General features: G+C 39.2%; 1 protein-coding gene across 13 annotated transcripts in view; it reads right to left on the bottom strand.

The window, feature by feature from the left end:
• Positions 1-15,389, bottom strand: part of PAN3 (poly(A) specific ribonuclease subunit PAN3) — a 157,143-nt gene that overhangs the window by 91,419 nt on the left and 50,335 nt on the right. For 8 of the 13 annotated variants that reach the window (XR_941549.3, XM_011535034.4, NM_175854.8 and 5 more), the window contains exon 5: positions 6,571-6,732. The exons of 4 other annotated variants lie outside the window; for them this stretch is intronic. Coding sequence is in view for 8 of the 9 variants with exons in the window: in XM_011535034.4 (XP_011533336.1) it covers positions 6,571-6,732 (162 nt within the window). In the remaining variant the exon portion in view is untranslated. Of the gene's footprint in view, positions 1-6,570; positions 6,733-12,609; positions 12,667-15,389 lie in introns of all 13 variants that reach the window. One more of the 13 variants, XM_047430251.1, reaches the window with a different exon arrangement.

Below are 15,389 nucleotides of genomic sequence, written 5' to 3'. Positions count from 1 at the left end.
CAGGAGAATCGCTTGAAGCTGGAAGGTGGAGGATGCAGTGAGCCGAGATCACACCACTGCACTACAGCCTGGCAACAGAGCAAGACTCCGTCTCAAAAAAAAAAAAAAAGAAAAGAAAAAAGAAAAGCAGAGACGCTTTCTCACTAAACAACACTGTCAAGAGGTAATTAAGTCTATTACAAGGCTTAAAAGATTAAAAAATAGCAAGAATACTTGGATAATGTTAAACTTTAAGATGGAAGATCTCTAACATTTCAAAATAAGCCCCAAAAAGTCTATGATTAATTTTTTTAAATACAGAAAAGCCAGACCCAGTGTGGTGGCTCACACCTGTAATCCCAGCACTTTGGGAGGCTGAGGCAAGTGGGTCACTTGAGTCCAGTAGTTCAAGACCGGCCTGAGCAATATGGAGAAACCCTGTCTCTACAAAAAAATACAAAGAAAACCTAGCTGGGCACAGTTGCACATACCTGTAGTCCCAGCTACTTGGGAGGCTAAAGTGGGAGAACTGCTTAAGCCCAGGAGGTAGACGCTGCAGTGGGCCATGACGATACCACTGCATGCCTGCCTGGGCAACAGAGTGAGGCCCTGTCTCAATAAGTAAATAAATAAATAATATAGAAAAGTCTTAAAATAAATTACCACAAAATTACATATATTACCCAATAAAAGAAAATTAAGGTCAGGCATGGCAGCTCACACCTGTAATCCCAGCACTTTGGGAGGCCAGGAGTTCAAGAACAGCCTGGGCAACACGGTGAAACCCTGTTTCTACCAAAAAAAAAAATTAGCCAGGCATGGTGGCACACACCTGTGGTCCCAGCTACTTGGGAGGCTGAAGAGGGAGCATCGCTTGAGCCTGGGAGGCAGAGGTTGCAGTGAGCCAAGACTGCACCACTGCACTCCAGCCTGGGCAACAGAGTGAGACCCTGTCTGGGGGGAAAAAAAATTAAGAAAGAAAGAAAGAAAAAAATTAAACAGTAGCATTTAAAAACAAGTAAAATACTGGGTTGGTGCAAAAGTAATTGCAGTTTTTGCATTAAAAGTAATGGCAAAACCGCAATTACTTTTTCACCAACCTAATACCTTCAGGATACAGAAATAAACACATGCTTAACCTCAAGTATTTACAATCCAGTAGAAAAAGACAAACAGGCAAACAAATTTAATACAAAACAGAATGAAGTAACTGTAAAACACCAAATACACTAGGAATAGTAAAGTAAGTTAAACAAATTGTGTGTGTGTGTGTGTGTGTATACATATATATATTCTATCCTGCCTGCTGTGTATACAAGTAATCCCAGAGAAAGTAGTATTTGAGCCATCTCTTAAAGGAAAAAGAAGGAAGATTTTTCAGGCTCAGTTAACAATGGTTCAGAGAACTGACAATGTATTTTATATTTTATGTAACATAAAAGACCTCATATGGTTAGGATGTAGTATATATGGATGGATATGAAGAGATAAACTCAGATAGGTAGAATAAATCCTAAAAAAAATTGACAAAAATTATTCAGAAGCTGTATATGCGTAAGGAATAAACAATCTCACTATTTATAAAAAAGGGAAGAGGGGTAAGATACTGTAGACTTTAAAAAAGTAAGAATTAGAGACAGATAATATAGCAGGAAAATCTCAAGATTTAGAACAGATCTTGGCTAGAATTGCAGCTCTACCACTAACCAGCATTAAGCTTTCCTAAGGCCCAATTCTGTTGTCAAATGGGGATAATATGTGATTATTGTTATAATGTACACTGTCCAATATATTCTATTTTAATTAATGATCTGTCAAAGCACAGTAGTTTCCTTCTTATAATAAGTGTTAGATTAAAAAAGTAATCCAGGGGGGAAAAAAAAAATAAGAGGTAGAATGAAAGAGAAGGCAAGGAAGGAATATTTAGTCTCAGAGATAGGGAAGATAATGCCATAAACTGAAGAAGGAGTATAGGAGAATATATGCGAAGCAGTAAATCTGGAAAACCAAAAATTAAACCGTATTTCTAGACTTTCCAGATTTGTAGGGAGAGTGGCATATTTACCCACATGCAAAGGTATCAGAGGCACAGAAAATCTGAGCCTTGAACTCAGAAGACAATTCTAAAAGTAACATTTCAGAATCAATGACATACAAGAAAAAGCAAAGAACAAGTGAACCAAGAACAGGAGCTCACATGGAGCCAGGGACGAAACAAAGAGTTAAAAGTACAAAGACAGGCAGTTGTGGTCGTTTATGCCTATAATCCCAGTATTTTGGGAGGCTAAGGTGGAAGGATCACTTGAGGCCAGGAGTTCAAAATCAGCCTAGGCAACAGAGTGAGACCCCCACTCCCCCGTCTCTTAAAAAAAAAAATTATTATTACTATTTTGAGATGGAGTCTTGCTCTGTTGCCCAGGCTGGAGTGCAGCGACACAATCTCTGCTCACTGCAAGCTCCACCTCCCAGGTTCACACCATTCTCCTGCCTCAGCCTCCCAAGTAGCTGGGACTACAGGCACCCGCCACCATGCCCGGCTAATTTTTTGTATTATAAAAATTTTTTTATTAAAAAATGCAAAGAAAGAAATTTCATGGCCAGTACAGTGGCTCACACCTGTAATCCCAACACTTTGGCGTGCCAAGGCAGGAGGATAGCTTGAGCCCAGGAGTTCAAGATCAGCCTGAGCAACACGGCAAGACCCCATCTTTACAAAAAGTGAAAAAAAAAAAAAAATTAGGTGGGTGCAGTGATATGTGCCTGCAGTCCCAGCTACTCGGGAGACTGAGACAGGAGGATCGCTTGAGCACAGGAGGTCGAGACTATGAGGTGAGCCATGATTGCATTACTGCATTCCAGCCTGGGTAACAGAGACCCTGTCTCGAAAAAAAAAAAAGAGAGAGAGAGACAGAGAGAGTTTCACAATAAAAAAGTAGCCAGCAATATTAAGTGCTCAATAAAACTGCTGGATTTGGCAATTATGGAGATCCCTGGAAAACTCTGAGAGCAATTTCAATAAAATTTTGGTAACACCAGTTTGCAGACATTTAAGGAGTAAATGGATGGTAAGGAAATTTAGAGAAAAGAGTGGAAACCATTCCAAAGGTTCCCGACTGCGGACTTTACAAACATATTAATGGAGATCAGATGGGTCTTATCAATATCTCAAACAGCCATATGAAGAATAAATTTACCCTCTACAAACGTACAAAAGATTAAGAAAAATTTTAAGCTTCTCTGTTTCTCTAATTAGCAGCTCCACATATGTATTTTTCAAATGTATCACTGTTTAATAAATGCCATGTTTGGCAGACAGGCTCCTTCGTATCATAAAGTATTTGGTTAAAAAATCAGTTAAAAGATTACTAAGTAATAAAGGGTAGGGAATCATAAGCCTCTTGAAAGAAATCCAGCACTGAAGAGAATAAATGCAGTATGAATGACTGCATTCCATCAGAGCTCGGAAACTTGGACCAAGGTTTTGTTAAGTTTCTTGTTAGTTGGTTTGTTGGTTTTCCTTTGTTTTCAGAAGTAGAAAAAGACCAAGATGTTAGGTCAAGATTAAGAAATGAACGTAAAGGAATGTTTAAAGTTCCAGAAAGAAAAGTAGTTAAATGGCACAGAGGAAAAAGATGAAGCACAAGGAAAAATGACAGAGCTTACATGCTGCAGAGTCATACGTAAGTTACAGCCCGTGTCTATACAACTATGGATGCATCCTCATCCTCAAAAGCTGTCCTGCAGAAATTCAGTTAACCAGTTAGATAATTAAACCAACTGTAGTTACTAGAGCTACAGCACATAGAAGTAAAGAGATTTTGAGTCTGACAAAAGTGGACTCAAATATCTGTTCCTCTACTAACTGTTTAACCTTAGAGCTACTTAGCTTCTCTGAAGATGTTTCTTCATCTAGCAGTAACATCTATCCCATAAGCTATTAGCAATACCAAAAGACAATACGCGTAAAGAGCTTAGCACAGTGCCTGGCACAAGACAACCATTAAAGAAACATAGCCATAATTATTAACATAAAATATTTTAAAACATTTTTCTGACCCTAGGATTGAGAGGACCTAAGATTTAAGGAAACAAATGGAACAGGAAAGATGAATATGCTCCTGACACAATTCTTTTAACTAGTATATGTCGAAAACACAAAACGATATTAAAAATACTTTCTAATCACACAAAAGGAAAAAAAAATGGTATGGAATTGGTAAGTTACTTTTCTCTCACAAGAAAAAGATAAAAACTCCAATACAAAAATATATATTGACATACTATTTGCTTTGTATAAACTATTCCAGACCCCCAGTTTGGAATCTACACAGACAGTAATAGAGACGAGATGAGTATTTTTCAGTACTTCAACATGTGCCTGGTAAAGTGAAACATTTTAGAGATTATAAAGCTCTAAATTTGGGTACAGCATTCCTTATGTCCTTAAAGGAAAAGAACTACCTGAAGTATAAAATAACAGTATTGGAAACATTAGATTCAGATAACACCAATTCAATATTTCACACATTAATGCAAATCTATTACTATTTTAATTATAAATAAAACATAACTATAATCAACCTAAAGATTTTTCAAGCTATTCTAAAAAAAAAAGTACCTCAGAACTGCCACCAGGATAATGGGGGCAGTCGTGGAGAGGTCGAGTGGCTACACCTCTGCATTGGTAAGTGTTTCACCCCCACAACCTACAAGTAATTCCAATTTCACTTGTATCTGCTCTTAAATAGCTGTGGTCCAATTTTTTTCTTCAGACCTTCTTTTTTAAACTAAAAACTAATTGTAACAACCCGTATCAAAAACCTCTCCACTACTGATATAAAAGACAAGCAAATTCAGTTAAAAAAACTATACTGTTATTCATAATTGACATAGCCAAAACTTTCCAATGAAATTTGAAGCATATGGTTATATGAAACCCCTGTCTTTTCTTATCTTTAGAAAATATTACCAAAATATCAGCTGGAGCAAATACTACATTTTGCAATATTTACTTTTGGAATAATTTATTTATTCCTATGCCCAAGGCAATACAGATACTACTCATGTATCAGTAATAAACAGAACAAAATACTGTGGAACCTATTTATAACATAAGGTTGGAAACAGAAATAAAACCAATTTGTTACCTTTGTTATATCTTTTCTGTGTGTGGTATGTACATGTGGGATTATAGGCTTTGCCTTGGGATATATTTTAAATGCAAGTTTGGGAGTAAAGACATTCTACCTCTGGCTAAATTGAAATTTGGTTAATAAAACAATATTACAGAATAATTATCAATTTTTTAAAAATGGAAATAAAATTATAATCCAGATTAAAATGGCATATAAATTTTTTTGTTGGTACTTCAAAATATTATATAGAAACTACCTGACATAAATTTTCATTTGCATTATTCAGTATTGACAAAAAAGGTACAGTCAAAGATGGAATGTATTTGTAATGACTCTATGACAACATACTATTGAAGTTAGTTTTAGAGCAACTCTTGACAAGTTTGTTTACATATAATTTTTGTTTCCTAGTAAAAATGTTAAAAAGACAACATATGAAGCATCTTGTTCTTCAGATTTCCAAATAAATGTGACTTTGTGTAATAAATTTTATACGACTCTTTTTTTTTTTTTGAGACAGAATCTCGCTCTGTTGCCCAGGCTGGAGTGGGTGCAGTGGTGCAGTCTCGGCTTGCTGCAACCTCCGCCTCCCAGGTTCAAGCCATTCTTCTGCCTCAGCCTCTCGAGTAGCTGGGATTGCAGGTGCTCCCCACCACACCTGGCTAAAATTTTTCTTTTCTTTTCTGTATATTTGTAGAGACGGGGTTTCACCATGTTGGCCAGGCTGGTCTTAAACTTCTGACCTCAGGTGATACGCCTTCCTCGGCCTCCCAGAGTGCTGGGATTACAGGCGTGCACCACCATGCCCGGCCTTATATGACTCTTCAATGTAGTCCTATCCTGAATAACTCTTGGGTAGTAAAAATAATTGAACTCAAGTATTAACAAAATTGAAAACAGAAAAACTAAATTTAACTAAATATAGTAAAATATTCGGCCAGGAGAGGTGGCTCATGCCTGCAATCCCAGCATTTTGTGAGGCCAAGGCAGAGATCACCTGAGGTAGGAGTTCGAGACCAGCCTGGCCAACATGGCGAGACCCCATCTCTACTAAAAATACAAAAAATTAGCCAGGCATGGTGGTGTGCACCTGCAGTCCCAGCTACTTGAGAGGCTGAGGCATGGTATCTTGAATCTGGGAGGTGGAGGTTACAGTGAGGTAAGATGGTGCCACTGCACTCCAGCCTGGGGGACAGAGTGAGACTCTGTCTGAAAAAACAAAAAACAAACAAACAAAAGTAAAATATTCTACAAAGAGGAAAAGCTCAAAAAGCCACCAAGAAAAAATCATTTAGTTGGTTAAGGGTCACTAACTTTATTCTGATTAAAAATTTTTTTAATTACCTAAGTATACCAGCTAAGTCATCCAATCCTTTCACAACCACCACCCCAAACAGACACAGAAAGCAGCCAAGACATTCACTTTCAAGAAATGTCTAATAAAAATTATTTTTACCTGTAAATTGTTTTCTGTGACTCTGTTCCACCAAACCATATTGATGGGTACTCCTGATTTACACCTGTCAGCAAGGCAGCCAATAGGGTTCTTTGCTTTTCGTGCCTTTGATCCCATCGGAACTAGCCTCTCCTCCAGCATCCCCAGGCGATACTTCCTTGGCTAGGAAAAAGAAGGAAAGAAACCAGGCCACTCCTAACATCCCCCACACTAATCTAAACTAACATAACTAACATATACAGGATACTGGGAACGGTGGGATAGGAAACAAGTTTCTAAAACACTCCTTCTAATATCCTTACCACCACCCACCACCTCCCACCCCTGCACCAAACCCACACCTCCAAAATAACCCACACTCCTAATGGGCTAAAGAATATTATATAAAGCAACAGATGTTTTTAGAAAAATACATTTAATCTGATTTTATACGACTTTACTTAATGAATAGAAATTTAACTTATCAGCAAAGAAAAATGCTTTGCAAAATTTTTTCTACTGTCACTTACCTATTCTCACTGCAATATGAAGAAATGGTTTCAAGGACACAGAATACAGATTTTTCTTTTTTATAAAGTTCGCCAAACTACAACTTTTTCAGCTCACCATCTTGTTACTTTATTTCCTACTGAGAACTAACCCACTTTTAAAAACGCAGTTGTTTCCTAATAAATTGATTTTTAAAAAATTTTAATTCTATGCACGTTAGACTTGAGTACAACTCACTCTATCTTAAATAGGCATTCACCCTAAAGTATTCAATGAAAAAAAAAAACCTCAGACTAAAAAACAACAACAAAACAGTAACACAAATTGGTCTTTTAAATCTCAATAATATGAACAGATTGATAATGAATAAATTATTCAATAAAATCATAAATTATTTGCCTAACATTATAAGAAAATTAATAAGCTATCTTAATAGTGGTTAGCAGGACTTTTATTCATGAAAATTAGTGCTTGTTTCCACTATCTCACTTCTCTTAATTACAGCAAATTTGCACTAGACTGCATCTTAAGGAAAACTTGTATGTATTTTTTCCCTTCAGAAAACACTAATTCATGCTTAGGAAGGTAATTAATTTAAACTCTGAAATAAGAAAATATATGTTTACTCATTGTTCTGTCATGAGGTATAAGACTGCTGAAACAAAGAGTTAAAATTAAGTTTCTTCAAAAAAAGATGCTGGCCAGGCATGGTGGCTCATGCCTGTAATCCCAGCACTTTGGAGGTTGATGCAGGAGGATCACTTGAGCCCAGGAGCTCCAGAACAGCCTGGGCAACATTGCAAGACCCTGTCTCTATTAAAAAAAAAAAAACAAAAAAAAACCTATAGCCAGTCAAATATATTAATAATGTTTTCTAGTATAAAGAGAACCAATTTAAAAAAGACATAATTTCCAAATTTCAAAATCTTGCAAATAATGCCTATGTAAATTATTCCATGCAAATTAGATTCTCCACTCCACAAGTGTGCATCTGCTATACTGTCTTTGATTTAAAGAGGACAAGGCTGGGTGCAGTGGCTCATGCCTTAATCCCAGCACTTTGGGAAGCCGAGGTGGTGGGTCACTTGAGGTCAGGAGTTCGAGACCAGCCCTAGCCAACATGGTGAAAGCCCATCTCTACCAAAAGTACAAAAATTAGCCAAGCATGGTGGCACATGTCTGTAATCCCAGCTACTTGGGAGACTGAGGCAGAAAAATCACTTGAGCCTGGAAGGCAAAGACTGCAGTGAGCCGAGATCATGACACTGCACTCCAGCCTGGGCCACAGAGTGAGACTCCATCCCAAATTTAAAAACAAACAAACAATAAAAAACAACAATAACAAAAAAAAACAAGGACAAAAATAACTAAACTTGCATTGAGAAAGGTAACTAGAATGCCTACTTACTCAATAATTATGGCAGTGGACAGAGTTTTGTTTCTTTTTTCTTTTTGAGACAGTGTCTCATTCTGTCGCCCAGGCTGGAATGCAGTGGTACAATCACAGCTCAGTGGCAACCTCTGCTTCAGGGGCTCAAACGACCCTCCCACCTCAGCCTCCCAAGTAGCTGGGACTACAGGCATGTGCCACCACGCCAGGCTAATTTTTGTATTTTTAGTAGAGATGGGGTTTCATTATGTCACCCAGGCTGGTCTGGAACTCCTGGACTCAAGCCATCCACCACCTCCCAAAGTGCTGGGATTACAGACATGAGCCACCACATCAGCCTAACGAACAGAGTTTTATGAGACTAACATACCTCCACCTTTATGCAATCTTGAACCAATCTAGTTACTCTCTATGTCTATAGCATAGGGAACATTTTTTTTTATTTGCTATCATACTTTAGAAAAGCCATAGAGGGAAATTTTGTGAATAAGAATAAGTATGTACCCTTAGTGATTCATGCCATGGAACCACGTTATAAGTGAAAGAATTTTAAAGCAAGTTATTTCTAGTAACTTAATTCCTTGGAAAGAGTATAAGAATTAAATTGTACATTTTTGTGTTCAAATAGAAAACTACAAGGCTCTGACATACAGTAATATAACCCTAATTAGACACTTACTAATTTAAAATTTATATTTGGCCGGGAACGGTGGCTCATGCCTGTAATCCTAGCACATTGGGAGGCGGAGATGGGCAGATTGCCTGAGCTCAGGAGTTCAAGACCAGACTGAGCAACAAGGTGAAACACCATCTCTACTAAAATACAAAAGAAATTAGCCGTGTGTAGCAGTGTGCATCTGTAGTCCCAGCTACTTGGGAGGCTGAGGCAGAATTGCTTGAACCTGGGAGGCAGAGGTTGCATTGAGCCGAGATCACGCCACTGCACTCCAGCCTGGGTGACAAAGCAAGACTCCGTCTCTACAAAAAAAAAAAAAAAAAAATATATATATATATATACATACATATATATGTATATATACACACACACACGTATATATATACACACACATATATGTAAATTTAAGAAAATTTCTGAGCTAAAATTAACCTTGTTCTATCAGGAAAGTTCAACATATCAAAGAACGTTTACTTAATCAAAATCTCAGGTTGTCAAATGATTTATACATGGACACCTAAATTCCAGGTCATATATCTGAATGCATGAAAATTATTTTAAAAGGTCTTCCGTAATTCAGATCCTTCACAAATTCAGATGTACTTTTTTTTTTTTGAGACAGTGTCTCTTTTTATTTTTTTTTTTGAGACTCCATCGCCCAGGCTGGAGCGCAGTGGTATCATCTCAGCTCACTGCAACCTCCGCCTCCCTAGTTCAGGTGATTCTCCTGCCTCAGTCTCCCAAGTAGCTGGGATTACAGACGCCTGCCACCACACCTGGCTAATTTTTCTATTTTTATTAGAGACGGGGTTTCATCATTTTGGCCAGGCTGGTCTCAAACTCCTGACCTCAGGTGATCCACCTGCCTCGGCCTCCCAAAGTGCTGGGATTACAGGCATGAGCCACCGCACTGGGCCTCAAATGTACTTTTGACACAGTTATTACAGTCAATACAATTCACTTTCTATGTAGTAGTACAGTAAACAACATTGAAAAAAAAGGTTGTTGCTCTTTGGTTAGTTTTTGTTTCTTGGGTTTTTTTTTTTTTTTTTTTTAAGTCAGGGTCTCACTCCCAGGCTGGAGTGCAGTGGTGCAATCTCAGCTCACTGCAATCTCTGCCTCCCAGGCTCAAGAGATCCTCCCACCTCAGCCTCCGTAGGAGCTGGGACTACAGGTGTGTACCACCACGCCCAGCTAATTTCTATACTTTTTGTGGAGATGGGAGTCTCTCCATGTTGCCCAAGCTGGTCTCAAACTCCTGGGCTCCAGTGATCTGCCTGTCTTGGCCTCCCAAAGTGCTGGGATTACAGGCGTGAACCACGTGCCCGTCCCCAAAAATGGTTTTAAATACATCCAACGTATCATCCTCCCTCTTTAACTGCACTCATTAAATTACGTTTCTTCATTTCAAAAAGGGAATTCATCATTCCTCTCCTTCCACTCCATGCCCTAAAACCCTTAACTAGCCTAAAGCCTCTCCTCAATAGGTAGAAGAGATCTCTAAACATGTGCCATTATAAACCCTAAATTTTTTCAATAAATAGCCAGAGATTAAACTCTAATCCAAAAGTAAAATCTTCTCTGTGTAACTAAATGAAAATATCCTAAAGCAAGCTTCTCCAACCAGAGGCCCAGGATGACTCTGAATGTGGCCCAACAAGAATTCGTAAACTTCTTAAAACATTGAGATTATTTTGCCATTTTTTTAAAGCTCATCAGCTATCATTAGTGTTGGTGTATTTTATGTGTGACCCAAGACAATTCTTCCAATGTGGCCCAAGGAAGCCAAAAAATTGGACACTCCTGCCCTAAGGTATCAATACTATTTAAGGTACCATTATAAGCGACAAAATACAAAATAACATCTGAAAAGAGATGGTAGCAATGTAAAACATGATGGTGAGGCGAAAGATTACATAGAAAAGTTTTATTGCATAGAATGTAAATTATAACAATATCTCATCTATAAGCTAATTTCCAAATTACTAATTAATCCCTGAAGAAAAAAATGTACTTTCAACTAAACATCTGAGAATCTACTTTGTATCAGGAACTGTTCTAAGTATTTGGAACACAACACACACCTTACGCTCGAAGACAGATTAAAGGCTAGGAGGTAACAGAAATGTAAACAAACCACAACCCACTGTGATATAACAATGCATAAGTAATCATGTATGAATAGAGCAGAAACAAAGGTAGCTTCACAGAGAAAAGTGAATGCCTGAGTAAAGTTCTGAAGGAAGAATAAATGTGCCTAGATAGGAAAATATGAGATGGAAGTATGTAGTATAGGTTAGGGGAAAACTATGTATACAGACATGATGGTGTTTAGAGGAAACCACAAGTATGCAGTTCACCATTAGCAGAAGGTGAAGTTTGAGAACAAAAGATGAAGCTTGAATGCAATTTTTAAAAAGTATTGGCCAGGCACGGTGGCTCACGCCTATAATCCCAGCACTTTGGGAGGCTGAGGCGAACGGATCATGAGGTCAGAAATTCGAGACCAGCCTGGCCAACATGGTGAAACCCTGTCTCTACTAAAAATACAAAAATTAGCTGGGTGTGGTGGCAGGCGCCTGTAATCCCAGCGACTCAGGAGGCTGAGGCAGGAGAATCTCTTGAACCCAGGAGGCGGAGGCTGCAGTGAGCTGAGATGGTGCCGCTGCAGTGAGCTGAGATGGTGCCACTGCACTCCAGCCTGGGTGACAGAGACTCAGTCTCAAAAAAAAAAAAAAAAAAAGTATTGTTTTAGTGCCAAGCACAGTGGCTCATGCCTGTAATCCCAGCACTTTGGGAGGCAGAGATGAGAGCACTGTTTGAGCCGACTTCAAGATCAGCCTGGGCAACACAGTGGGACCCCATCTTTACAAAAAATGAAAAAAGGAGCCGGGTATGGTGGCCCATGCCTATAGTCCCACCTACTCTGGAGCCTGAGGTGGGAGCATCGCTTGAGCCCAGGAGGTCAAGGCTGCAGTGACATGTCTCATCTCTCAAAAAAAAATTAAAATAAATAAGTAAATATAAACATATTGTTTCCTAAGCTAAGGAATCTGAGGATCATTCCATGGTAAAGAATAAATGACAAAATCAGATTTGTATTTTAGAAAGGAAGGTCTGTGGCAGTGTGGAGGAAGAATTGGGGAAGAGGGAGTAAAAGTGGAAATAGGTCGACAAATTAGTGGACTCTGGCAGTAGTCTAGGTTAGGGTTTCTCAACTTCAGTACTACTGACTTTGGATAATTCTTTCTTGTGGGGGGCTGTCTTGTGCATTGTAGGATGTTTAGCAGCATCTCTATCCTCCCACTAAATACCACTAAGCACCAAGTACCCAGTTGTAACAACCAAAAATGTCTCCAGATATTACCAAATGTTCTCTGGGGGTAAAAAGACACAACTGCCCTGGCTACGAATCACTAGTCGAGAAAGAAGGATATGAACTTGAGGCAATAATAACAGAAATAGAGAACTAGTGAAAGCTTACTTGTGGCAACATCTGGTAGGTTAAAAACCACTATTGGTGATTAACTGGAAGCAGGTGCTAAGGGAAAGGAAGAGGTTAAAGAGAAGATCAGAAAATAAACAGGGCAAACACAATTTTAAGGGAAATATTTATTTACTAAAGTTTTTTCAGTTCTTTAAGATCCAAGCCCCTCCTTCAGAGCAAACAAAAGCACCAACTCCTCTTCCCTTCCGAGCTTCTAGAAATCCTTACCTAGACCAACCTTATGAACACAGTGGTCCCCCAAAAAAGGTAAATTCCCTTATTGATCCTCTATTCTTGATAGCCTGACCAGTCCCATCTTGCTGGTTATTATGAAATAAAAGCATTTGAAAATGCCACATCCTATTGATAACCAGCTTTTGTGCTCCACACGTGTAAGTTAACATTGTATAACAAAATTCCCAATCCCCTTGATATAGTTTGGCTGTGTGTCCCCACCCAAATCTCATCTCAAATTATATTAATAATGCCCATGTGTTAAGGGAGTGACTGAATCATGGGAGTGGTTTCCCCCGTGCTATTCTCGTGATAGTGAGTGAATTCTCACGAGATCTGATGGTTTTATCACTTACCATGATTCTAAGTTTCCTGAGGCCTCTCAGCCATGTGTAACTGTGAGTCAATTAAACCTCTTACCTTTATAAATTACCCAGTCTCGGGTATTTCTTTATAGCAGTGTCAAAATGGACTAATACACCCCTTTTCCCGTGGTAAAACATCCAGCAGAGGCCAGGCACAGCAGCTCACACCTGTAATCCTAGCACTCTGGAAGGCCAAGGCAGGAGGACTGCTTAAGGCCAGGAGTTCAAGGACCAACCTGGGCAACATAGTGAGAACCCCCCAATCTCTACCCCCACCCCCGCCAAAAAATTTTTTTAATAAGCCAGGTGTGGTGGTGTGCCTATAATTCCAGCTATTCAGGAGGCTGAAGTGAGAGGATCACTTTAACCCAGGAATTCAAAGCTGCAGTGGGCTATGACTGTGCCACTGCACTCTAACCTGGCCAACAGAGTGAGGCTCTATCTCAAAAAACAAACAAATTGGCCAGGTGAGGTGGCTCACGTCTGTAATCCCAGCACTTTGGGAGGCCGACGCGGGCGGATCACCTGAGGTCAGGAGTTCCAGACCAGCCTGGCCAACATGGTGAAACCTCATCTTTACCAAAAAATACAAAAATTAGCCAGGCGTGGTGGTACGCGCCTATAATCCCAGCTACTCTGGAGGCTGAGGCAGGGGAATCACTTGAACCCGGGGGGCAGAGTTTGCAGTGAGTCAAGATTGTGTCATTGGACTCCAGCCTGGGTGATAAGAGCAAGACTCTGTCTCAAAAGTAAAATATCAAAACAAACAAAAAAGCTCAAGGCTTGAATAAAAGTTTTCAAGAAGAAAAGGTTTGAAAATATATTCTAGAGTAGCACTTCTCAAACAATAGTGAACACAGAAATCTTCCAGGGATCTTGCTAAAATAAAAGATTATGATTCGGTAGGCCTTAGAGCGAGGTCTAAGAATCTGTGTTTCTAAAGACGCTCCCAAGACTGCAGATGCTCCTGGTCTGGTGATCGCACTTTGAGTACTAAAGTTCTCAATAACGTCAGAGAGATCTGGAGAAGAAATAACTAGTGATACAAACAGAAATTGGAGTCACTCCTCAAAATGAAAAGGGGTAGGGGTTTAAAAATTCAGCATCGCAAGTCCTTGTAGCTCCTTGCCCCCTTGGAGCTTGATCTTAACACTGAGAGTTTTTTTGTTTTGTTTTGTTTTTTTGTTTTGAGACGGGGTCTCACTCTGTTGCCCCAGGCTGGAGTGCAGTGGCATGATCTCGGCTCACTGCAACCTCTGCTTCCTGGGTTCAAGCCATTCTCCTGGCTCAGCCACCCAAGTAGCTGGGATTACAGGCACCCACCACCACATCTGGCTAATTTTTGTATTTTGAGTAGAGATGAGGTTTCACCATGTTGGCCAGGCTGGTCTTGAACTCCTGACTTCATGATCCACCCGGCGTGGCCTCCCAAAGTGCTGGGATTACAGGCGTGAGCCACCACGCCTGGCTAACACTGAGAGCTTTTAAGATCACTATTTGTAGCCCTCAAAGCCCTAGCTTTTCCAAAAACCTTTGCCCCACTTCATAAAAGCCAGTTCCAGTGGTTTAGGGCTAAGGGAAGTCCACTCTCATTACAAGGGAGGTAAGCCTCTAGACTCACTATGTCAAAGGAAAGAACAGAAGGTAATTTTAGGACACACATGTATATTTTTTCATTCCTTGATTTACTCAACATTTCAGTATAAACTTCTCTATCATTCTTAAAAATAAAATGATCAAGAAGATCTATTCTCTTCTCCCAAAAAGTTCAGAGTGCAGCTAGAAGAACAATCTATAAATACCAGCACTTGTATAAAAAATGTAGTTAAAGCTACTAAGTAACAGACCAATTCTCAGAGCATTTAATTCTTTTGGTAATTGCAAAACAGCACCATCTCCAAAATGCCTCACATTATCAGTCACATGTTATTACATATCATGGTCTACTCATTAATAATAAACTAGAGAAAACTGTTGCTTCAGGACAAAAAGTTTCCAATGCCGTGAATTATAAAAACCTCCTTTGAACATCAAAAACATAATCACTGTGTAATCATTTCACTATTTACACTCTGAAACAATGTAATTTTTTTCTTTTTCTTTTTTTTTCTAGACAGTCTTCTGTTGCCCAGGCTGCAGTGCAGTGGCCCAACTATAGCTAATTGCAGCTTCAAACCC

This window comes from Homo sapiens, chromosome 13 (genome assembly GCF_000001405.40).
Source record: "Homo sapiens chromosome 13, GRCh38.p14 Primary Assembly".
Lineage (NCBI taxonomy): Eukaryota > Metazoa > Chordata > Mammalia > Primates > Hominidae > Homo > Homo sapiens.
The sequence above is the reverse complement of the archived record's forward strand: the minus strand, read 5'-3'. Positions and strand labels throughout refer to the sequence as shown.